At 43.2% G+C, this 24,367-nt stretch overlaps 1 protein-coding gene across 2 annotated transcripts in view, besides 5 other annotated features; it reads left to right on the forward strand.

The window, feature by feature from the left end:
• Positions 1-3,054, forward strand: part of UBE2E2 (ubiquitin conjugating enzyme E2 E2) — a 388,828-nt gene extending 385,774 nt beyond the window's left edge. Inside the window, exon 6 of one of the 2 annotated variants that reach the window (NM_001370225.1) lies at positions 863-3,054. In NM_001370225.1, the coding sequence (NP_001357154.1) occupies positions 863-960 (98 nt within the window). In that variant the 3' untranslated portion in view covers positions 961-3,054. The remainder of the gene's footprint in view (positions 1-862) is intronic. The other variant, NM_152653.4, reaches the window with a different exon arrangement.
• Positions 915-1,414: an enhancer, noted in NCBI's record as "H3K4me1 hESC enhancer chr3:23631277-23631776 (GRCh37/hg19 assembly coordinates)". NCBI's record gives its function as "activates a minimal SCP1, AML or CMV promoter by ChIP-STARR-seq in primed H9 embryonic stem cells {active_cell/tissue: H9 hESC(primed)}" and the evidence as "EXISTENCE:reporter gene assay evidence [ECO:0000049][PMID:30033119]".
• Positions 4,981-5,030: an enhancer, noted in NCBI's record as "active region_19596". NCBI's record gives its function as "activates an Ori minimal core promoter by ATAC-STARR-seq in GM12878 lymphoblastoid cells {active_cell/tissue: GM12878}" and the evidence as "EXISTENCE:reporter gene assay evidence [ECO:0000049][PMID:35858748]".
• Positions 5,051-5,160: an enhancer, noted in NCBI's record as "active region_19597". NCBI's record gives its function as "activates an Ori minimal core promoter by ATAC-STARR-seq in GM12878 lymphoblastoid cells {active_cell/tissue: GM12878}" and the evidence as "EXISTENCE:reporter gene assay evidence [ECO:0000049][PMID:35858748]".
• Positions 19,754-20,350: an enhancer, noted in NCBI's record as "H3K27ac-H3K4me1 hESC enhancer chr3:23650116-23650712 (GRCh37/hg19 assembly coordinates)". NCBI's record gives its function as "activates a minimal SCP1, AML or CMV promoter by ChIP-STARR-seq in primed H9 embryonic stem cells {active_cell/tissue: H9 hESC(primed)}" and the evidence as "EXISTENCE:reporter gene assay evidence [ECO:0000049][PMID:30033119]".
• Positions 20,351-20,946: an enhancer, noted in NCBI's record as "H3K27ac-H3K4me1 hESC enhancer chr3:23650713-23651308 (GRCh37/hg19 assembly coordinates)". NCBI's record gives its function as "activates a minimal SCP1, AML or CMV promoter by ChIP-STARR-seq in primed H9 embryonic stem cells {active_cell/tissue: H9 hESC(primed)}" and the evidence as "EXISTENCE:reporter gene assay evidence [ECO:0000049][PMID:30033119]".

Raw genomic sequence — 24,367 nt, forward strand, 5'->3', positions numbered from 1 at the left:
TTTTGTAATAATGAGCTATGTAGGTTGGATGTTACCAAATTTTGAGGAAGAAGTGGACCATCTCTCCCCTCTTTTGACTGTCCAGCTCAGACTCTGGCGTCTCCTCAGATAAGGTAATCTGGCAGGAGAATGCCACCTGCCTGTGGTGCTAGCCTAGGGTAAGGAGTTGTCCAGACCGCCAAACGTCTTCCCAGGAGAGCTCATCAAGAGCCCATGAGTCCCCTGCCCACAGCCCACCTGCATTTTCTCCGTGAAATATCTACTTGAAGACAGGCATCTCACACCTGTAATCCCAGCACTTTGGGAGGCTGAGGCAGGAGGATAACTTGAGCCCAGGAGTTTGAGACTATCCTGGACAACATAGTGAGACCCCCAAAATTACAAAAAAAAATTTGAAAATTAGCCAGGTGTTGTTGCACACACCTGTGGTCCCAGCTACTCAGGAGGCTGAGGCAGGAGGAGGATTGCTTGATCCCAGGAGGTCAAGGCTACACTGAGCTGTGATCATGCCACTGCACTCTAGCCTGAGTGACAGAGCAACACCCTGTCTCAAAAGAAAAAAAAAAAAACCAATACGAGGGGAGCAAGGTGAGAAGTATGTGGTGGGTACAGGGAAAGAGAATAAGACTTGTCAAGAAATATGACAAGAGCTATCAGTAAAATACAGATAGGTGACTCTTGGGGCAGCTGGTGTGAAATGTAGTCTGTCAGCAGCAGGTGACTGGCTCAGCCGCAGCAATGGTGGTCCAGGTTAGAACAGCAGCTTCTCATCTCCTACCCTCCCACTCCTTGCCAGCTTTCTGAACACTTCTTCCCCCACAGTGCTGGTATTTACTGACTCCCAACTCTGCTTTCCTTGCAGCTGACCCTCTGGTGGGCAGCATCGCCACACAGTACATGACCAACAGAGCAGAGCATGACCGGATGGCCAGACAGTGGACCAAGCGGTACGCCACATAGGGGCCTGCTGCCTGCCGCCCCGCGGGACCTGTGCAAGCACATTCACCAAGTGCATCGGTAGCCCTGCCCACCCCTCCAGACCTCGGTTCTTATTTTCCTATTTTTATTAAATTTGGAACCATTTTGTGATGGTATGTTGTCCATCTTCCCATCCCAGTTCTTCCTGCCCCCCTTCCTCTCTCCCACGCTCTCTTTTATCTCTCATTTTATTCCCTTGTTGATTTCTGTTAACTTGAAAGATTTGGGATTTTTTCCCACCTCATCATAGATGGGAACTTTTGTTTTCAGTGCAAACAATGTTGGAGCTGTAATAGTAAGAGCTTTCTTACAAAGCTTTGTATTACTGTGTGGTTTTGTTTTTTTTGTTGTTGTTTATTTGATTTTGATTTTTTTTTCTTTTATGTGATCTTTGGGAAAACACATTCAGAATTATATCTCGTTTCTACTTAAATGTAGTGCTTAGGGTTAATTTTTTGTACTGAAGTCTTTATTGGTGGGTGCATGCTACTGGGAACAAGTTTTTGTACAAAAGCTTCAATCAGAATCACTGTGCATTACTGAGACTCTGTTTATCACTAGCCTTCTGTCCCTCCCGCAGAAGACTGTTGGATTGAACAAAATAATATGTATTTTGATTTACTTAAAGTGCTTGTAAATTTCTTAGGGACCTGCCACTTTTGACTGTGGATCAGTTGATGTACACTTGTATTATTAAAGCACTCAATAAATCACTGTGGCTGATAACTGCACTTCTGGTAACCCGACATTTGCTTTGTGTCCTGGTGACCGCTGTAGCCCTACGTGCAGTGAGGCTTGTCTAATTCAATTACAGGTTCAAGTGTATTTTTCATCTCAAACCTCTAATATTTCTTTGGAGTTGAGTTGCTTAGCATGTGGAATTTCTCCAGCTGTCAGTAGCCTGATGATTTTATGGTTGTTATAGTAAATTGCTATCATTTTACATATTGACTGGGCATTCTTTCTGTTACAGCCTTCTTTATCAACAATTAAAATATGTAACTCCAAAAATAGCCTTCTTGTGAAAGTGAAGTCTGAGCTAATCATTGTGTTCAGCCACTTTCAACTTTATTTCTCTCAAAATTGTTACAGTGATTGCCCTCAAGCTTTGTATTGTTCATTTTTGTTGTTGTTGTTGTTGTTGTTGCTGCTCTTTTTTCTCCATGATTTTAGCAAAAGAAGTAAACTCAACTGTATTGGTCACGGTCAGCCCATTCAATGACAAGGGTGTCTGTCTGGCTTCACCTTCAGGCTATTTTAGTGTGCAGCTATAGGAGGCAGAGGAAACGTGGGTGGTGTAGTTTCTAAAACACGCTGACTTGCTGATTGATAATTCAGGGTTATTAGTGTAACAAAGCGTAGTGGAAACTCCTACTCCTGCTGCACCATACAGTTACAGACCCTACCATACTCTTGGTCTCATTTAAGGAACCATTAACACCTTCACTGCTGAAAAGCAGGATTTATAAGCATAAGTCATCCACCTCTAAATATTTTAACATTTAAAATGCCTGATTCAAAAGATACAGTTTTTGTTGTTTTTAACTAGTTAAAAATAAATCCTAAGAAAATATATTTAAATATTGCAAATGCCACTTCTAAACCAAAATACCTGAGAATATTTTTTGTCTTTTTAATAACGATTTTACCATTCATTTTATTTAAAAACATTTCTCAGCATAGCAGGGCACTGTATGGTCTCTGATGCACTACTCAACCCTCTAGTTGTAGTAGAGGGAGCCACAGACAGTACATAAATGCATTGGGCAGAGCTATATTCCAGTGAAACTTTATTTACCACCATAGGCATGGGATTTGGCCCATGGGTTGTAGTTTGCCAATCCCTGACACAGACCAACATAGACTGGGGGCTGGATGAAAAACAAATAACGATGTGTCATTTCTTTCTTTAACATAAAATAAATTCAATATGGTACAACACTGATTTTTGGAAAGTTGCTCAGAATGTTTAATTGCCTACAGTTTCTCACCACAAAGTTTTTTATTTTTACTTCAGATTTTAAAATTCAGCACTAAAGGCATTGAACCATTGAAAATAAAATTTTATTAAACTGCTTTTTTCCCCTACTTTTGGCTGATTAAACCAGACCCATAATACTAATACTTTAAAGACAATCTTTATAGGCAGTTTTTAAATTAAATTTTTTTTTTTTTGGTCTGTAGCAACAAGGTCTCACTGTGTTGCCCAGGCTGGTCTCAAACTCCTGGCCTCAAGTGATCCTCTCACCACAGCCTCCAAAACTGCTAGGATTATATAGGCTTGAGCCACTGTAGCCAGCCAACACACATTTTAAGTGATAAATATATTACATTGCACATTTCACATCTACTTGTACATCAGACCATTTAAAAATGTGTTATTAGGCCAGGCTTGGTGGCTCACACCTGTAATCCTAGCTTGGGACGCCGAGGTAGAGATTGCTTGAGCCCAGGATTTCGAGACCAGCCTAAGCAACATGACAAAACCCAGGCTCTACAAAAAAATACAAAAATGAGCTGGGCATGGTGGTGCACGCCTGTAGTCCCCGCCACTCGGGAGGCTTAGGTCAGAGGATCACCTGAACCCAGGAAGTCGAGGCTGCAGTGAGCCATAATTGCGCCAGTGCACCCCAGCCTGGGCAACAGAGCAAGACGCTGTCTCAAAAACAAAACAAAATTTGTGATATTTAGGAACCAAAGATTACAACAACTCTAGTAGGAATTCTAGTCACTGACCTGTTTGTTTTCCTGTGACCCATTTTTAGGTTTAATGCCCATCTGTGATATGAAGAGGCTGTAAAACTTCTCTCCCCAACTTTATGATTTATTCATACTTCATGACAAATGTACACAGCCCTCAAAATGTAAAAGCTAGAGAAACTCCAGAGAAACCAACAAACTTAGTAGAGCTGAAGTCTAGATTTCAAATAACATGGTCATTTTACTTGAAATCTGTAATTGCAGCAGGCAATACAATTCCAATAAATTTTTTAAAATGCATGTAAAATAAGATTTAAGAGTAATTTGACACTCAGTAAACAAAATTGTTTAGCTTAAAAATACAGGGATAACATTTCTAAAATTTAGGAATTATTTTGTACCATAATAATGCTGAATTTTTCACACTAGTTACTGCTAGATATAGTATTTGTAGCTATGTTAGATAAAATGTTGGCAGATCCTTGACTGAGGCAAGACCATTGGTTATTGAGGAAATGGTTTGAGATTATATTTGTTGATCTTAAATCATTCAAAACGTTGTGTCCTTAATTTGTCATCAAGCTGCAAACAAGGGGAAGATTTTTATCTGTTCTACAGGAATCCACTGATGATAGCAACTGCAGAAGTAGTCAGTCTTTTCTTCTTATTCCAAGATTAGGAAGTAAACATAGAAGTTCATCACGTAAACTTATTTAGGAATTAAAAAGAAAGGAAATAATATGTATTCAGGATGTACTATACCAGGCTATAATAAGTCATCTAATAAAAGCTCAGCCTACCTTTTAAGGGTGTAGGTGGCCCTCAGTCGCAAAAAGCTAACCAGGTGCCAAAGCGAGATTCCCATTCAAGCATGTGACACCAGAGCCCTTACTGTCAACGACAAAACCACATAAACCTTTCCTTTGACTATGAGGGCATACCATAAAAATGAATTGGCATAATTCAGTCTTAGAGTCAAGGAGGAGCACAATTCCTAGGTGGTGGGGTTTTGCCATCTTCAAAAAATGGGAAAAAAAAATGTTGAAGAAAATGTGGACTTGATATTAGATGGGAGACCAAACAGGAGGGACCAGCATTCTGATCTTAGAGGTACTGCATGCAGATTTGATCAGCCATGGGGAAACAGGTCAGTTGGAAAACCCCTGAACTTCTCTGCATCTCAGTACTGCAATAAGAGGGGTGTTAATTATTGTCAGGCATGGCAACTTTTTGATGTCTGTATCTTTAAAAAGAGAGGTCTTCATACTTAATACTGAAAACAGTTGAAATTGCACCCAAAAAGCCCTACCAGATATCCTGACCACCTGCATTTTATTTCAAGGTAGCTTTGTAACTGTCAAAATGTCCTTACTGTACAGAACACTTTCATATGTGGACCAGGACTGCGAGCCGAATGAGCACACCCTATACCTCAGCTAGTCCTAGAATTGTCCTCAGAGGCATTGAAGAGCTGACCTAGTTATATTCTGAACCCTAACATTTTAAGCTACATCAGATCTGGAATCTTTGGGAGTTGAGACCATCAAGGAGCTTAGAGTAGCTTGGCCTCTGAGGACCTTCCATGGTAGCCATGCGTTTCCCCACATCCATGCCGCCACCTTGGGAGCCAACTGGAACATTCATTCTCTGTTAAGTAGAAGGAATGTTCACATTCCTTTCACTCTCACGTTCCCCCATGAGCACTGGTAATGTGGGTTAAGGTTATCTTAAAACAGAATGTCTTACGTCTCAGGAACCCCTTGGTCCTGGACAAACCAAGACTGTTGGTCACATGAGCTTTTGTGCTCAGAGTACCAAGGTTAAGATCTTAGGCAATGCCTGGGACCAGTTTTTCCCATAGAAATATTTAACTTAAGGACAGTGTTTTCCTTGATGCACAATGATGGCTTTAGAAGGGATCTTCTATCTGAAAAACCCTGCCCCTCTCTGTGGCTTCCACACCTAGGCCTCTTCATTCATTTCCTGCTTCTGAAGGCCTCTGAGGGATTTAAACCAACTGCAGCCTTTCTTTACATCTCTGAACATGGCTTAAGGTATGTATGTCTTTCTGTGAAGGAACAGGAGTAGTCTGAAGACTAATAAGCTTTTTGAGAGGATTTCTCAAAAGGAACGTGTGAATTTTTAAACATGGGACCCACACAGGAAAATGGGGGAGATGTGGTAACCACCGATCTCTCTTGTTTATAAATCCATACAGTCAAAGTGGGGGCCAACCCCAATTATTCCAGAATGCCCAGTGTCAGAGTTTTCACTTCTGGTTACAGAAGGAAACCTTACCCACTAACCTTGGCAACCTTTAGAGCTGTGTGACTCCCAGCCCCCGTCTCACAGCATCCCCTCCTTCCCCTTAACATGACCCTCATCCATCTTTTTAAAAATTAGATAGGAGGTTAGAGTTCAGGATGACAATCACATCCTGGTTTACAGGAAATTGAGACCTCCTGAGAAATCATGTCAAGCTATGCAACAGAAAAGTAACAGATGCTTTACAATTGGTGCCTCTGAGCACATTGAGAAACACCAACCAAGATTCTTTTCCTTAATCCGTAGTTGTACAAAGGGGCAGTGAGAGGTCACACTCTGCTGGTGAGCCTGCCGCTGTGCTAAAATTGCCTAGAAGTAAGATGATCACATTCTTCGTTGTCTGTTTGGTCTCCAACTTGAAACTACTGACAAACAGGTAAATACATGATGACGATGGCTGCCACCATGAACTTTGACAATTTTATTCTCTTTCCTTTAGACCAACAGCTGACTTTATGCTCACCACCAAACAGCCCTCAAGTACTGCGATTTGAAAATCAAAGCAGTGTATGGTCAGTTATTAGAAACCTGTGATGAGAAACTCCAGAAGCCATTATTAATTCCCCAGAGACCCCATTCACTTTAAGCAATCTATGAGGAAATTATGTTAAATTCAAGCATGACTGTGCATTTTTACTTAAATGTAAAACATATGCCTGTATTAAAGAATCCCCAAATTCCCATGTGTTCTTAATGGGTGTAGTAAAATACTAGGGTGTACTTGTCAGTCCAGATTTGGGCTACTGGATTTGGAGGCAGTGGTAATGTTTAGTTATTGCTTGGAATTTTTTTATAGATTTATGGGGTTACAAGTTAATTTCTGTTACGTGGATAGCTTACAGATTTTTAATGGGAGAGAGAAGAAATAGGTTTATATAAAAATTGTTTTTTAATATAACAAAATTTTTATAAAGTGAATATTTTTAAAGTACATTTACATAAAGATGCTACCTTGCTAGGTACTACAAAATAAAGACTGTATGTATTAAACCCCCAATATGTTTGCAAGCAATTTGCACTTGATTTTTTTTGTAGATTAAGAGGTCACAGGGTAAGTTGCTGGGTCAGCACAGTCAAGGGAGAATCAGAAATGGGTTCTAGTTAAGAAGAATAGAAATTTTGTCAGAGTGCTATTATTATTATTTATGGCAAGAGATTGAGAGTGTGTCCTCTATTTAGGGAAGATGAATGGGGAACTATGATTCCTTCTGAGGCAGAGTCTATAAATTATCCCTAATATCCATTCTCCTTTTCTTCCTTTTATTATAAATAGAACTATTGGAATTTCAGCAGGGCATGTGGCCACCCCACTAGAAACTAAATTCCTCAACCACCATGTGATAGGTTGATTACAAAAAATGGTCCCAATCCTTCCCAGTATCTACATCCTTTGCAGCTTTTCTCATGGGAAGGTGGAGTCTTTGTTCCCCACCACTTGGCTGGCCTTGTGACTTGCTTTGACCAGGAGACTCTGGAAGTTATCTTGTGCCAGTTTCCAGCCTTGGCCTCCAGAAGTCTTACACACTTCCCCACTTTCTTGGATTCCTTCCATGCCTTGAGAGTAAGCCCCAGGCTAGCCTACTAGAAGGTATGAGATCATGTGGAGAAGAACTGAGACGATCCTAGACCAACCAATCCTCCAGTACATGCAGGAACCCAGCCAAGATCAGAGCCACCTACTGTGTGGCTGATAGCAGGTGCTGCATCAGCCCAACCAAGACCAGATAAACTGTCCACCTGATCCTTATATTTGTGAGCAACAATAGAAGGTATTGACTTAAGCCAGTAAGCCAGTGATTTGTTACACAGCAATAACTAACTAATACAGTTCAAGCTAGGCATAGCCGTGGAACAAAATTCTGGTCAAAAGAAGTGAACCGAAGTGATGGGAGCAAATTTGCAGATCTCGTCTTGTAAAATGAAGCGGCCCACCCTCCTCTCCCTCTTTATTCTTTCCTGTGGTCTGGAATGGAGGTGTGGTGCTGGTGAGCCCATCGGGACCTTGTCAACAAGGGCAAGAATATGGAGCAGCAAGACCAAAGTTGTTCAGTTTTGAACCTGTTGAGATTTAAGTACCTCGAATACATCCAAGTAGAAGTGTTGGGTCACTGGATATACCAGCCTCATATTCAGGAGAGCACACGGCCCAGCATGGTAGCTATGAAGCTGGGAATCATCAGAGTATAAAGGGGAATGCAATTATGAGAGACGATGAGATTACTTGGGGAGATTAAGGGTAGAATGAGAAGACAAAGAAGACCAGAACCAAGCCTTGCAGGTGAATCACATGGCTCGCCATCTGTCCTGCCCAAAATGTCCTGAGATGACATGTTAAAACATTTTTAAGTGTGCTTATTTTAAAAATAATATCACGCCTATAATCCCAGCACTTTGGGAGGCTGAGGCGGGTGGATCACGAGGTCAAGAGATTGAGACCATCCTGGCTAACACGGTGAAACCCCGTCTCTACTAAAAATGCAAAAAAAAATTAGCCAGGCATGGTGGAGGGCGCCTGTAGTCCCAGCTACTCAGGAGGCTGAGGCAGGAGAATGGCGTGAACCCAGGAGGAGGAGCTTGTAGTGAGCCGAGATTGCGCCACTGCACTCTAGCCTGGACGACAGAGCGAGACTCCATCTCAAAATAGTAATAATAATAATAACAATAATAATAATAATAATAATATACCTGCACATTGGAAGTCTGAGGCAAGTGAATAACCTGAGGTCAGGAGTTCAAGACCAGCCTGGGCAATATGGTGAAACCCCGTCTCTACTAAAAATACAAAAATTAGCCAGAAGTGGTGGCACGCACCTCTAATCCCAGCTACTCGGGAGGCTGAGGCAGGAGAATCACTTGAATCCGGGAGGCAGAGGTTGCAGTGAGCCGAGATTGTACCACTGCACTCCAGCCTGGGCAACACAGTGAGACTCTGTCTCAAATAATAATAATGATAAACCTATACTATTAATGAAAAAAAAATACCATCAGTAGATGAAGTATTCTGAGGAATTATGGGAAGATTAAGCAACTGGAATTATTGATGAAGTCAATAGCAGAAGTGTATGCAAAGTAAAATTCATGAGGGAGAACTGCAGAGGTAAGAGCCATACCAGAGTTAAACTTCCTACCTGCTGCTGAAATGCAGGACCTGGAGCTGCTGCCCTGGACTACAAGATGTTGGAGCTGCAAGGTAGCTGGAGCCTGGGCCCCTGAGACCAGAGCACCGAAGGACCCTGTTCATCCCACCCAGACCCCAGACCTTCCTGTGAAAGAGAAGTCTGTTTTTATCTTCTTTAACCTACTGCTGTGTTGGAGTTTCTGATCTGTGCAGCTGATCTGAGCCTAACAAACGCACATGCCAACTTCACGATGGTGGCCTTGGGGGAGAAGAGGAAACAACACTAAATAGGCACATAGAAAATATTTCAATTTTATCTCTGATTTTTTAGTAAAGATATGCAGCCAATAAATATGACAAATACACAGATGTTTGTTATAGTATCATCTTTACTTCTCTATGTGTAAATTTTTTTCCAAATTAAAATGTTTAAGGTGAAAAAAAATAACTAAGCCTTACCTAAGGGAGGATAGAGTTTCGTTTCTGTATGATACATTTTGGTAAGTTTAGATTTTTAAAAGTGAATGTGCATTACTTTTGTAATCAGAAGAAAAAGACATAGCAAAAAGGTAAAATTTGGAATGGTGGAAGCAGCCTGGGTAGAAAATTGTTTCAGTAAGAATTGTTTTAACAGGAGATGGACTGGGCCGGGCGCGGTGGCTCACGCCTGTAATCCCAGCCCTTTAGGAGGCCAAGGCAGGTGGATCACGAGGTCAGGAGTTTGAGACCAGCCTGACCAACTTGGTGAAACCCCGTCTCTACTACAAGTACAAAAATTAGCCGGGCGTGGTGGCGGGCGCCTGTAATCCCAGCTATTCAGGAAGCTGAGGGAGGAGACTCACTTGAACCCTGGAGGCGGAGGTTGCAGTGAGTCGAGATCACTGCACTCCACCCTGGGCGACAGAGCAAGACTCCGTCTCAAAAAAGTAGATAAATAAAATAAAAGGAGATGGACTGGGGTGGTAGTTTGAGAGAGATGTTTGATCAAGGGAGGAGCTTTAAAAATGGAAGCTACTAGAGCCTGCTTATGATGATAAAAATGACCTAAAAGAGAAAGAAGGGAAGGGAATGTACACTTGCTGCTCAGATCATTGACATCACCTGGGAGCTGGTTAGAAATGCAGAATCTTGGGCCCCTGGCCCAGACCTGCTGAATCAGACTGTGCATTTTAACAACTCCCCAGGCAATTCACACACACATTACAGGTGGAAAAGCACTAAGGAGGGACGCACTGGGGTCACAAGCCTTTTGGTAGGAAGGGCAACCTCTGTCATTGCAGGAAGGAAGATCCTGTGGGCTGGTGTAGATGCAGGGAGACTTGTTTGTTTGGAAATGGAAAGATGAGAGAGTCACCCTAACAGTTTCTATTTTCTGAATAAAGAATAAAGCAAGATCACCTTCTAGGAGGCGGGAAGGGAATGTGGGAGGTTGAGAAGAAAGTACGAAATAGTCATCTCAGAAAGAGAAGAGTGACCTTATAGAAACATGGTAGGATTTCCAACCAAGGTTGAGTGTCCACGAGGAGTGTGAACTCATGACCTAAAAGAAGTTAAATCTAGTGTCAGCCAAGTTGTGTGGCTTTGTCCAGCAGCGTTCAGCTCATTCAGCACACAAACAAGAGAAGGCAGACAGCCAGATAAGAGAATTAAGGGACTGAATTAATGAAGGAACTTGCGAGGAACTGATTTAAGTGATGGATCCTGAAATCCATCCCTGTCATGGGGGTCCACAGGCAAGAGGAGGATGGAAGGTAGTAATTACAGATGAAATAGTGGGCTGTCTGGTATTAATACATTTCACTGTGTGATTAGTCTTTAAAGTTTCGTTATTGACAACGTAGTCAAGTTACTGTAACTGGAACAGATCTCCTGCCATTCTGAGTAGAAGAATTACTCTCCACATGACTCAGGTTTTGAAAACTACTGAGTTTATGCAATTTGGATATATGCGCCACTGTATTTCTCCACGAGTATTGAAAATTGAGGAAATTCTGTAGTCTGAATTACCAGTAAAGGCAATACGGGGTGTCCTGAGAAGGGGAAGAGAAGAATCACTAGCATGCTGGCCTGTGCCACGGTCTTTACATTCATCTCCTTCTCTAATCCCCAGGATAAGCCCTGTAAGAGAGGCATAATCACCCCACAGTTTACAAGTGAGGAAACTGCCACAGAAAGGTTAAATAACTTGCCCCAGGTTACCCAGCTGGGAAGACTGACCTTGTCAGGATTTCGGCCCCCTGGGTTCCAGACCCTTCCTTACACCTTCCCATTACTCTGTAAAAAGATCCTCTTAGTTGTGATCATATGTACAAACAGGTGCACGTGGGCCAGCACACACATTCCATAGTTCTGGCCACATTTTGTTTGGCTAACAAAGTAATGAGACACCCTGGACAGTACATTCTTGGGCGGTGATGTGACTTGCGGAAGACGGAGGTTCTCAGGCATATGGTAGCATTTCTTATCTGTAGATTTAAAAATGTTGCCCTTCTGATTGGGAAAAAATTCTTTTAGTACTATTAATGTAGAAGGCTTGAGATTTTAGAAAGCTGTGAAAATTGTGTGCCTTTGGGCAATGGAAATAGATCTCTGTGGCAGAATATAAAAGGGTAATCTACTGGGACAAGATTCTGTGTGTGTATTGTTATTATCACCACCATCATCACAATTACTACCCCTGCTGAATATGTACCCAGTAAATATTCAGCATAAAGCATCGAACACATGGTGTGTATGCATACAAACACAGGTGTGTGTGTATGTGTGTGTATATACAAACATGTAATTTCATTTAATGCTTCCTGTAATCCCCCGAGGTGTATCTTATCCCTATCACATAAAAACCCAGAGATTTTAACAGAGCCAAGCTTGCGTAGCTGCTAAGTGGCAGAGCTGGGTCTCAAACCCAGGTCTCTGTGGCTGTGAAGCCCCATGTGCAAAAGCACAGTGCTGTGCCACCTCCCAGTCCGAGTAAACTTGATACATATAATTGTGTATTTACTAACTGATGAAGTAGGGAATTACTGAGTTTATGCAGCCAAAACCCTTGAACGTAAGGAACATTCAGCATTGTGTCAAATGGACCCCAGGCAAAGCAAAATATTGTATGCCAGCTCCGCTGGGTGTAATAGCCCGTATTTCCCTATTAAGGGAAAAACAAAGCAGGAGGAAGTTAGAGCAATCCTTACAGATCAGGGTATTTGGAAGAAGGCAACACAAATCGGTCCCAGAAAAGCGCGGAGTCACCTCTGCCCTGCAGGAGCCGGCCATGGTCAGCTCTGTGTCTTCTCTTCCTTCTGGCAGTGGGTTTGTTTCTCTGTTTTTCTTTTCTTTTCTTTTTTTTTCCCAATCCCCATGGAAAGATTTCCAGTCGTTTTATAGCTGAATTCAGTGGAAAAGTAATGTTTATTCACCTCACAGCCAATTTGGACAGAGCACATTTCTATTCCATAAAGCAAGGCATTGGTACATTCATGATTCAGAATTACAGGCACATTCCTTGCGTACAGTTGTGTTTCAGCCTGGATAAAATTAAAATGTCACTTTCCTTTTTCTTTCCTGTGGATTCGCTTGAGTTGCTCTCATTAGGCAGAACTGGCACTCTTGGGAGAAATGCCAGGCTTCAGAATGAAGGCCTGGTAAATGTAACCTCATCAAGTTGCAGTAGCCGGAAAACAAGACATGAGGTGAACATCGGCATTAAGTGCACTTCTCTCTCTCTGTCTCTCACACACACACACACACACATGCACATACACACACAATCTGCCTTCCTTTCTGCCACTTTACTGAATCCACTCACAGATCACCAGTCATCAGCACCAACAGCATCTTCTAGAAGCTGATCTTCAGGCCTCCATAGCAGCCCATGCTGTTAACCCTCCTTCCTGAACTTCTTTTCTCCCTGGGCTCTGGTTCGAATCTCACGTGCCCCAAAGGTGACCTTCCACACTTCTGAATGTTTCTGATCCCTGGTTTTCTATCCTGTGTCTTCTCTCCTTCTCTCTTCCTTGGTGATCTCAGGCACTCAATATGCATGCATTTATTGCATCCCTAGACCACGTACAGTTGCAGAAGAACCGCAAAGATAAAGATGAAGCCTATCCTGTAAGGAACCGGATCTGTCTGATACTGTGAATTGTTCCCTTAAGTGGAAGTAATTCCAGCAGATTTCCCGTCCCCAAAAGGATGCAGACAAGAGAGCATGGGCTTTGGAATCGGACGAGCGGGGATTGAGGCCAGTTCCATAACCTCTCACCCCTGGGTTCCTTTCTACAAACTGGAAATGAAAACACCCACTTTATGAGGTTATATTTTAAAGTTTCTGTCAAATAGTAGGTGCTGAATAAATGTTATTATCTACCTCTCTCCTTTCCCAAATTCTTATTCTGACAAGATTTATTGATCTCCTCGTATGGGCAGCCAGACTCTCCTTCATGAGCCAGTGGGCGTGGCTGCAGCTGCTTGCCCCATTCCTATCCAGTATTCTTCACCTGGAATACCTTAAAAAGGCTAAAATTTAATTAAAAGAGGACGAGAAAGAAAATGAGTTAAGTAGGGGGTAGGGTAGAAGCACCGGATCCGTGGAGACTGAGGGGTTGTTCCCAGAAGTGATATAATTCTGGTGAAATTTGTTTCAGATATTTCATTGGTGTCTGTGTTAAAGCTGCTACTCCACCTTCACAGCTCTAGAAGGATACGCAAAACAGATGAATTGTGGGCCTACAGAGGGGGGATTTCGGATATTGTGAGTTAGAACTGGGAAGAAAACTTTTTACCACATACCTTTTAGCATGATGTGAATTTTAACCACGTGCAACTACTATATTTTCAAAAAATAAAACTAACCAACCAGAAAACAACATAGTTCTCTTTAGCAAACAGTTTGAGGACAATTGGAAGCACCATCTTTATGCTAAACTTAGCACCTTTCTCTTTTGCTAAGAATAAACCAAAATTAGCTCAGAAAGATGCCTGATCGCCAAGAGTTTGCCGACACCCAGGTGTGTCATGAGCCTCAAGACAGAACCCGGGTGCGTTGCAAACCTCATCTTTAATCGGCTGCAGGAAGCTCTATCCAGCTGCCGCACCGCAGGGTTCGCTTCACTGATGTGAGAGTGGGAATCAGGGATCAGGTTCCAGCCTGGGCCCTGGTGCTGTCTGGCCTTCAGCTCTCTGGGCCTCACTTTTTCTTTTATGAAATGTGATTTGTAAGGTCACTCTCTGATCCTCTGATCTGTGTACTGTGTCGGTAGAGTAATTAGACCTCATCCTCCCCTCCCAAGCCCTAGTGGACCACAGCCTTTCTCTGTTTCCACCCTATGAGGGCCTGAGATTCTCATGCTGAGAGTGCCTTCTTGGCTTTTGATGTAATTTCTAGAAATGCCCCTCAGACCCCATCAAGATTAAATATAGTATGTATTTTCCAAAGGCAGTTTTCAGCTACAGGAGATAAGAAAAAGATTTGGAGTAATACATTGGCAAACAGTGATTTTATTTATTTATGTTTTGTTTTGTTTTGTTTTGTTTTTTGAAACAGGGTCTCACTCTGTTGCCCAGGCTGGAGTACAGTGGTACTCACTGTAGCCTCGACATCCCAGGCTCAGGTGATCCTCCTACCTCAGCCGACCAAGTAGCTGGGGCTATATGCATGCACCACTACCCCGGGCTAATCTTTGTATTTTTTGCAGAGACGAGGTTTTGCCATGTTGCCCAGGCTTGTCACAAACTCCAGGGCTCAAGCAATCCACCCACCTCAGCCTCTCAAAGTCCTGGGATTACCGGTGTGAGCCACCATGGCTGGCCAAAACACTTATTTTAATAGTCATGTTTTTATATTTATTACATTACATTATTTATGTTTGTAATGTATTTTATGTATTATGTTTATCATCAACTTCTTTATGCCATGTGATACTGGTTTTCTGTTCATGGTATACAGTATTATGGTATTAGGTAAAAAAAAAAAAGAGCTAATGGCAAATTAATAGTATAGGTCTCATATTATTCAAGAGAACAATTATAAAGGTGGTCTAAAAAATGACTGAGGTTTGAGAAACATTGACTGCTATGGGTCAAGTTGCATCCCCTGAAGTCCATATGTTGAGTCCTGACTCCTTGTATCTCAGTATGTGAGCTTATTTGGAAACAGGGTTGTTTGCAGATGTCATTAGTTAAGATCAGGTCACACTGGAGTAGGTACCTACTGGGCAGGGCTCCTAATCAATTATGACTGATGTCCTTGTAAAAGGGAAGATTGGACACAGATGTGCACACAGGGAGAACGCCACGTGAAGACTGGAGTTGTGCTGCCACAGCCTAGGAGCTCCCAGAGCCAGAGAGAGGCCTGCAACAGACCCATCCCTAGCACCCACCGAGTGAATGTGGCACTGTTGACACCTTGATCTCAGACTTCTAGCTTCCAGAACTGGGAGGCAATGTGTTTTAATATATTTAAGCCTCCTAGGTTGTGGCCTTTTTTATGGCAGCCCTAGAAAATGAATATGTTAATGTAGATGGTTTGCGTTGCCCTGGGAAAATGGAACAAGAGAAAGATGCACAGATGAAATAACTTGGGGAAGAAGTTTGCGAATATCTCCAAACCACCAAGCATTGTCTCAACCTTTAGCAACTAGAGAGAGTGTTTCTGTCCTTGGCTGGAGGAAGCAGGTGACTCAGTGTCTGTCAGGATGCTGCTCCACTCCGGGCTTATTTGATTGGAGGACTGTGCACCTTCAGGGCTGGACTCACTACCTCGACCTAAGGAAGCTTTCTTGGAGTCTCCTTTCCAATAAGTAGGGTGTTAGGCTTAGGCTGGAGTTCTTCAGAGTCTTTTTTACCTCATCCCTAACTTTGCCAGGACCCTGCACCAAGAATTAAACACTTCTTTAACATCATTTAAATATCAGTGTGCAGGAAGGAGCAGAAAGAAAAGAAAATCATTTAAGTAAGCTAACCACTGCCATCAATCTCTGTGCAATTTGATAACCGCTGTGGTTTAAATGTGTCCCCTCAAAAATTTAGGTATTGCCGGCCAGGCACAGTGGCTCACGCCTGTAATCCCAGCACTTTGGGAGGCCGAGGTGGGCGGATCACGAGGTCAGGAGATAGAGACCATCCTGGCCAACACAGTGAAACCCTGTCTCTACTAAAAAAAAATATAAAAAATTAGCCAGGTGTGGTGGCGGGCACATGTAATCCCAGCTGTCAGGAGGCTGAGGCAGGAGAATGGCGGAGCTTGCAGTGAGCCGAGATCGCACCACTGCACTCCAGCCTGGGTGACAGGGCGAGACTCCATGTCAAAAAAAAAAAAGAAAAGAAAAGAAAACATAGGTGTTGCCAATGTGATAGTATTAAGAGGTGGGGCCTTTAACAGATTAATAGTCCCTGAGGGCGGCTCCCTTATTAATGGGATGAAGGCCCTTTTGTCTTCTGCCATGTGAGGACACAGCAAGAAGGGCCTTGCCAGACCAAATCCTGGGGTCTTGATTTTGGACTTCCCAGCCACCAGAACTGTGAGAAATAAATTTCTGTTCCTTATAAGTCACCCAGTCTATGGTGTTCTGTTAAAGCAGCACAAACAGACTAAGTAACATGGTCTTTTTTGACAGTGGTAACTGTTAGATGCTATTAACCTCAGTGCTCTCTTACTCACTCTGCAATACCATTGGACACCAGGGCAATGTCGTGACTTACAGGGTGATACGGAGAAGTTAGGAAGTTAGAAAGCCTGGCCTGGGTTCATGCTAGGTGTGTGGCTCTGTACACCCTCCCCGCTGCCTGCACTTGGCTTCCTCGTTGGTCACAAGCAGATGACAATATCTGCATATCTGCCCTTAGCTCTGCGAAGTGTTGCTGTGATGTGAAGATTGCTAACATGTAAGGGCTTTGAAATTGTAAAGACAATAAGAGCCATTCACCAAATATCTGCTGAGGACTTCCTAGGTACATGACAATGAGGGGAATACAAAAGTGTATAAAAGCCTTTCATTCTTGGAACACTTACTTTACTATATGAAGATAACACTGTCAAAAACAACTACCAAACAAAGATGTACATGTGCTGAACAAAGTAGTGTTGAATTGCATAAAAAGCTACAGCATGCAGACGGGGAAGAGATGCTGCTGCAGGCTGGATTGGGGTCAGGGAAGCCTTCCTGGGTCTTTGAGACATGAAAGCAATGGAAGAGTCTATTTCAGGTAAAAAGGCTACTGTGAACAAAGACGCAGGGCTGGACAAGGCCAGGCGTGTGCTGGAGGCATGAGAATTCCCTGTTAGTGTGAATGGAAGGAAACCAGGTGAAGCCTGGATACCAGGAGGAAGGCTCTGTATGCAACAGTTCTGCGGGAGGCTGGATGGCAGGCAACAGAACCTGCTGGCAGAGGAACCCGCTGGGAAAGCACCAAAGATGTTTGGCAAGAGGGGAGATAAAGAGACTAGAAGGGCACTCTGTGCCAGGGCTGATGGAACTGAGGCCAGGGGATCAGGGGGCAGGGACAGCGTCTGAGAAAGATGGGACAGACTGGAGGGGAGGCCATGGGAGAGTGTGAATAGTGACAACAGGAGGTGGATGCGGGGACTTCAACGAGTACCCTTGAAAGTACTCAGGGGAGATGAGGAACATGATACTTACTTGTCACTTATTAAGAGCTCTGTGGGCATTAGCCTATTTAATGTGCACAGCCCCTTATGAGCTACTTACTGTTTTCACCACTGGTTTATTGATAAGAAAACTGAGGCTGCCGGGCGCAGTGGCTCACGCCTGTTATCCCAGCACTTCGGGAGACCGAGGCGGGCAAATCACGAGGTCAGGAGATCAAGACCATCCTGGCTAACACGGTGAAACTCCGTCTCTACTAAAAATACAAAAAATTAGCCAGGCGTGGCACGTACCTGTAGTCCCAGCTACTTGGGAGTTTGAGGCAGGAGAATCACTTGAACCCAGGAGGTGGAGGGTGCAGTGAGCCGAGATCATGCCACTGCACTCCAGCCTGGGCGACAGAGCAAGACTCTGTCTCAAAAAAAAAAAAGAAAGAAAAAGAAAAAAGAAAGAAAACTGAGGCTAAGAAAAGTCAATTAGCTTGCCCAAGATCCTCCAGCAGGGAGTCATGAAACTGGAATTCACACCTGAGCCTTCCCACCTCAAAGCCTATAAAGTTTATTCAGGCACACGTTTAATAACCATGTTAAGAGACTCTTGAATTCTTTTTTTTTTTAATTTATTTTAAACTTCTTACACATATTAGATTGGTGCAAAAGTAATTGCGGTTTTCACTATTAAAATTAATTAGGTCGATGCAAAAGTAGTTGTGGGTTTTGCCATTACTTTTAACGGCATCAAAAGTTTACTTTTTGCCATTCCTTTCAGTGGCAAAAACCGCAATTACTTTTGCACCAACTTACAGTAAAATGCATAGGTCTTAGATGTTGAGATTGGTGAATTTTGACAGTTACAGATACCTGTGTAACCACCACCCAAAGCAAGGTGAAGAACATTTCATTCATCCCAGAAAATTCCTTTATTCTTCTTTCTTATCAGTCCCCCACTCCCACCCACAAGGAACACGTTCTGGTTTATGTTTCCTTGGATTGTCTTGCCTACTCCAGATTTCAGACAAATGTAGTGTGTTCTGTTGTCTGGCTTCTTTCACTCTGCTTGTTTTTGGAACTCATCCATGTTGTTGCATGCATCAGTGATTTGAAGAACTATGAACTTAGGAGTAAGAAGCAGATAAGTATGATGTTGGTAATATAAGTATCAAGGGGCCGTTCTTATTTGGCTTTCTGAGAACCTGACCTTTATACTAGTCTACCTGAAGCATGTATTTACCTGAGAGGAAATCGGGACTCGCAGCAGAAGAAAAGCTCAGGGAAAGACCAAGGCACACAGGTTTTCCTCACATAATGACTGTGGCATTAACTCTTCAACATAACGGCTCTGGAAACACATTTTGGACAATGGCTTTTTTTTCAGTACAATATCCTTTTATCCAAAAAGCACACTAAATAAATATGCTAGAAGCAGTGATATTTTGACATCCAAGGCAGGCAAAACCACACTCAGAATTTAGTTGACATAACAGTGTCTCACCAAAGAATATCATATGAAACAGACCTGAACTGTGCACCTGTGCACCTTGTTTGCACAGACTCAGTGTGCCTTGCAAATGTGAACCCGGCGAGAGAGAGAAGGAGCCAGCACCTTCTATAGCTCTCAGTTTCTTGTACATTTGTGCTATTCCCACACTGCCAAGCACTCTTGCGCTCAGCCTTTATTTTTCTCTAGCAATGTTAATCTGTATATAGCTTAAAGCATCATTTGCAGGCAAAATAGTTGTCAGCCCAAAGGTTGAAAAATGGGTGAAGTAAACATGAAGAAAGAATGAGCCTTCCAAAGAATGATGCCCTCCCTCAACTACTCTTGCTCCTTTGGTGAGTTCCAAAAACCTTTATTACCTTGCACTTTATGTACAAACTAGATTCCTCTACCTTTGTGTTGTTGTTTATTACTTGCATTACTTACTTTTATTGTTCAATGGATAGAGTTTCCTACCTGTGAAAATTATCTGAGTATCTTGGTTTGGAGGACAATGCCTCATAATTTTTTTCCATTAAAATTAATGGGAAAAATTTCTTTCATTAAATGACTTTGTCCTTAACAGCAAGAATTTCAGGAATGAATTGGGTGGTTAAACAGGGATAGATAGGTGGTATCAGACTTCTGACTTTCAAAAATGGGATTTTGCACCATGGCAGTTCTCTTGAATTGTTTTAAGTCCTTTTGTCACTCCTGTGGCATGTAAATTGGGTATTTACTTAAGTAAATGCAATGCAGATGGAAAGGAGACCCACACAGAGGTAAGAAGGAAAGGGGGAGGAGAGAAAGTCTAAGATGCTCAGAAATGGCAATTTCCTCTCACAGGCTTTGGCTTAAAGAAGGAGGGGTGGATCTGGAACTCCGCCTGCCCTGTGGCAACCTGGGCATCAGCTACACTGAAGAAGGCCAGGCAAGGCCAGAATCTGGGTAGTCCAGGCACTTAACTTTCGCTCAGATTCCACACGGAATCGGCTCCTGGCTGGAGCTCAGGGGCCTGACAAGGGTCTGTCTTGGCAGAGGCTGAAGAGTTTCTGCCCCAATTTGTGGGAGTTGAGGTGCGGGCCCCAGGCAGGGACACTTCTGGACTCTGGAGGTTCAGGATCCTAAGTTACACCTGCCACAGACTTCAAAGGACATTTCCTGAGGGACCCAGGGGGGAAGGACCTCGCCTCAAGGACCCTGCCTCCTAGGCAAGTCCCCAGAGGCCCCCCAGTGACTCCAAGGGCTCCAGATGCCAAAGCAGAGGGACCATCAAAGGGAAACACTAGGACTCCCTCAGCAAAGTCCAGACTCTGGGGGCTCTGCAGGACAAGGGACCCTGGATCTTCACCAGTGAAATTAGGGAGAGGCAGGTGGGGCGCCATAAATTCAAAGCAGCTTAAGAAACCAATCCGTCATTTGCCGCGCATAGACCTTACTTGGATTCTCATTTAAACAAACTATTAAAAAAAATTCTTAGACAGTTGGGGAAATGTAATGATGTTAAGGAATTGTTGTATTTGGTATGATAATTGCATTGTGTTAAGTTTTTTTTTTAAAGAATTCTTAGAAATACATTCTGAAACACTTGTGGATGAAATGATGAGATTTGGGATTTGCTTCAAAATGATCCAATGGGAACAGGTGAAACCTCGCTGGGCATGCATTCGTATTGTTGAACCTGGGCAAGAGGAACACAAAATTCCATTGCATTATTTTGTCTACTTTTGAATATGTTTGAAGTTTCCCGTAATAAAATATTAAGGAAGAAGGGAAGGAGGAAGGGAGAAAGGGAAGCGGAAGAGGTTTCATTATGGCTGCGGAGAAGTGAGGAAGCCCGTGAGGGAAGCTGTCTTTCAGCCTGGAAAGCTGCTTAGGATTCTGGCCACGTCAGGAAGGAAGGGCTTTTAGGAAGAAGAGAGAGCTCAGCAAAGGCCTGGAGACACATCCGAGGGCACAGCAGGTGGAGGTGGAGGATATGGGTGGCAAGGGTGGGAAGTAACTTAGCCCTGTTGTGAAGAGCTCTGGGCCAGGTGGATTGCAGGAGCCGTCTTAAGACTATGTGGCGGTTTCGAGCTGGGGATTATCCCACAAGAGCTGGACGGGCACAAGCCTCCCTGGTTGTCCTGGGGGGCCAACAGGCCAGCTGAGGCACCATCCCTGTTCTGTGCCTCTACCAGAATCCATGCAGCAGCTTGGTCTGAATTATCCACATTATTACCTGTGCCTGCTCGCCCCACTAGAGTAAAACAGGTGTCACCAAAGAAATAAAATAAAGAGTTACAAGGCCTGAAGGAAAATTAGGTACAACTACAAAGGATTCTTTGCATGGAGAGACTTGGGGGACAGGGCTGGAATGGGGGAAGAGGAAAGGACAGGCCATTGATTTTGCTCCTTGACTAAGCAACAGAGCCAAGGGGATTGTGGCTGACCGCAGGGCTGCACTCGGCCTCGAAGCCAGAGTGTGCTGCTAAAATGCCCGAGTGGAAATCTTCTATCTGGATTACATTTAAAATAAACTCTGATAGGTTGTCTTGTTTTCGTTTCTATTCTTTATATATTTAGGATTTATTTAGTACCTGTTTCTAAAAACAATTTATGGACTCTGCTAATACTAATGTGCAGGTTTTCTTGGGAAATGTTTAGGTTCTGAAACCTCAATAAATGTTCCAGCCCTGGAAAAATATGCTAATTTGTGGTTCACATTACTATGATATGTTCAAAAATAGCTTAATCGGCTGGGCGCAGTGGCTCACGCCTGTAATCCCAGCACTTTGGGAGGTTGAGGCAAGTGGATCACGAGGTCAGGAGATAGAGACCATCCTGGCTACCACGGTGAAACTCCATCTCTACTAAAAATACAAAAAAAGTAGCCGGGCTTGGTGGCACACGCCTGTAATCCCAGCTACTTGGGAGGCTGAGGCAGGAGAATCACTTGAACCCAGGAAGCGGAGGTTGCAGTGAGCCGAGATTGCGCCACTGCACTCCGGCCTGGGAGACAGAGCAAGACTTCATCTCAAAAAAAAAAAAAAAACTTAATCAACGAATGTTTTAAATATCAGGATAATAGAGAAAAAGAAGTTAAGGGAGAAATTGTGTTTCCACCTACATTTTACATGGCCTAAAAATCTATGGCTCAAGAACTCAAGTTGTCACAAAGAAAATAAGCTTGGGCAATACCTCCCCTACACAGACATCAAAAGGGCCTACTAAGCACAAAAGAGGTAAGTCTAGGAGAAAAAAAATTAGAGGGTTCTACTTCATAGAATGATTTTGAGTGTCTACTATATGAAAGGCAAATTTTGCTTTACTCTGATATTCACCAATTTTATAATTTTCCTTCTAATATTTGAGAGTGTGACGTTTCCCTTAGCCTTTAACTTAAAGAGGTGGGCACATTGCTTGGCCATCTCTCTGTGGATAGGACCTTCCTAAAAATGACAGCCCCTCGGTGACCTCCCAGCCTCCAGGGCCTGGGCGGGTAACAGCCTTTTAAAAGTTCCGTCCTCTGGGGATTTGAAAATACAGCCCAGGCCATATATAGAAGAGCAGAGTCCTCAATGGGCTTTGGATTCAGACAGAATTTCATGGCTGACTTGGGTTTAGGGAGGTCATTAAACCTCTAGGAGTTTGTAAGGATTAAATGAGAAAATTTAGGTTAAATATGTAGCCCAGCATCGGGCACATGGTGAGTGCTGAGTAAACGGGATCTGCTGTGTTATTATTATTCATTGTTGTTATTGCTGGCATTATTATTTTATGGGCATAACGAATGAGCTGGCAACATCAGTACAAACTCAAGCCAGAATCTGACACGGCCAAAATAAAACCAGAGCCGGCAACCCAGCAAAGGAGCTGGTGCTCAACAGGCCTTTAGAGTCCTCTCTCCAGCTGTGGCTGGCCGGCTGCCCGCTCTCCCTGCTCCTCTCAGCTCCAGAGAAAAATGGCTTTTAGATAAAGCTCCTTTGAAGCTGGGAACTCGCTGTAGTGCCTAAGCCTAGGGACAGCCCCCAAAGGTGTTTTTTTTCCACTTCTGTTGACGGACAGTCTGCAATATACGTATCAGCCACATTAATCATTTTTCTTTTGGGGGCCTGCTCAAGAAGGGCCTGGTTAGTCTGTGAAGGAATTCCAGAGCGAGTAGGTGGCCTTGCATCTGAGAAAGAGGAAGCTTGTTTCAGGGCCAGACAAGCGAGTGTGAAACTTCCTGCCGAGGCAAAAGGGGGCGGGAGGGGTGCAGACTTCTGGTGGGGGGTCTACGTGGAGCAGGTGAAAGGACCCTAGCGAAAGGTCTCACCCCTCCTCTGGTCAGGGTAGACTTCCATGTCCTGCAGAGAACGAGCATCTCTGGGGCTTCCGATAACTCAGCCCCAGAGGACTCCATTGGCAGGGCCACTTCAAGCTGGTTATTGCTCAGAAAAAATTCCCGGGCCCTGAACCCTGAACGGGCTGCCTTTCCTCAGAGCCAGAGGGAACGGCAGAGAGGACATGCCTTCCTGTTCTTGATTGTTTTAAAGGAGCCATGTGTCCAATAATTAGGTTCTGTGAAAAAGGAGAGAGAGGGGGAGAAGAAAAGAAGACTAGAACGCAATGTGCTCCCCTTAGCTTGCGTAAAATTGTATAAATAAGACTTCTCAAGCGCAGTTTAGAATAAAAAAAAGAAAAAGGAGTTGTTTGCTCCAGAGTGTGGTGTGGTGAGGCGGGGTAGGAACACGTGGATGTGACTATCAACTTTCCTCGTCAAACAATCTTTCTCCCATGATTTGACAGCGAATCACCTCCTTACTGGGAAGTGAGTTTCATTTCAAGCTCGCATAAATAAAAAAAAAAAATGGGCTATAACCCTTTTATGGAGTGAGTGAAAAATGTTTTGTGTAGGTAATTAGAGCATAAACTAGAATTCACCAGGTGCTTTTATATCATTTCCATAAAGTTTTATTGAATTAAGTTAACAAGGTTTTGGATTTATATGCCACATTTCTTCAGAGGGAACAAAACACGTTCATATATATTTCCTTGATTTTTAAAAATCCCAGTGAAGTAAGACCCAGAAGGCACTATCATTCCCATAAAATAAAGTCTATGTGTAGAATATTTCCGTTTCTCTTTAGTATACTAAGATATGTTTGAACACCGTAAGAAATGCTTTTACTCACAAAAGAATGCCCTT

This window comes from Homo sapiens, chromosome 3 (assembly GCF_000001405.40).
Source record: "Homo sapiens chromosome 3, GRCh38.p14 Primary Assembly".
Lineage (NCBI taxonomy): Eukaryota > Metazoa > Chordata > Mammalia > Primates > Hominidae > Homo > Homo sapiens.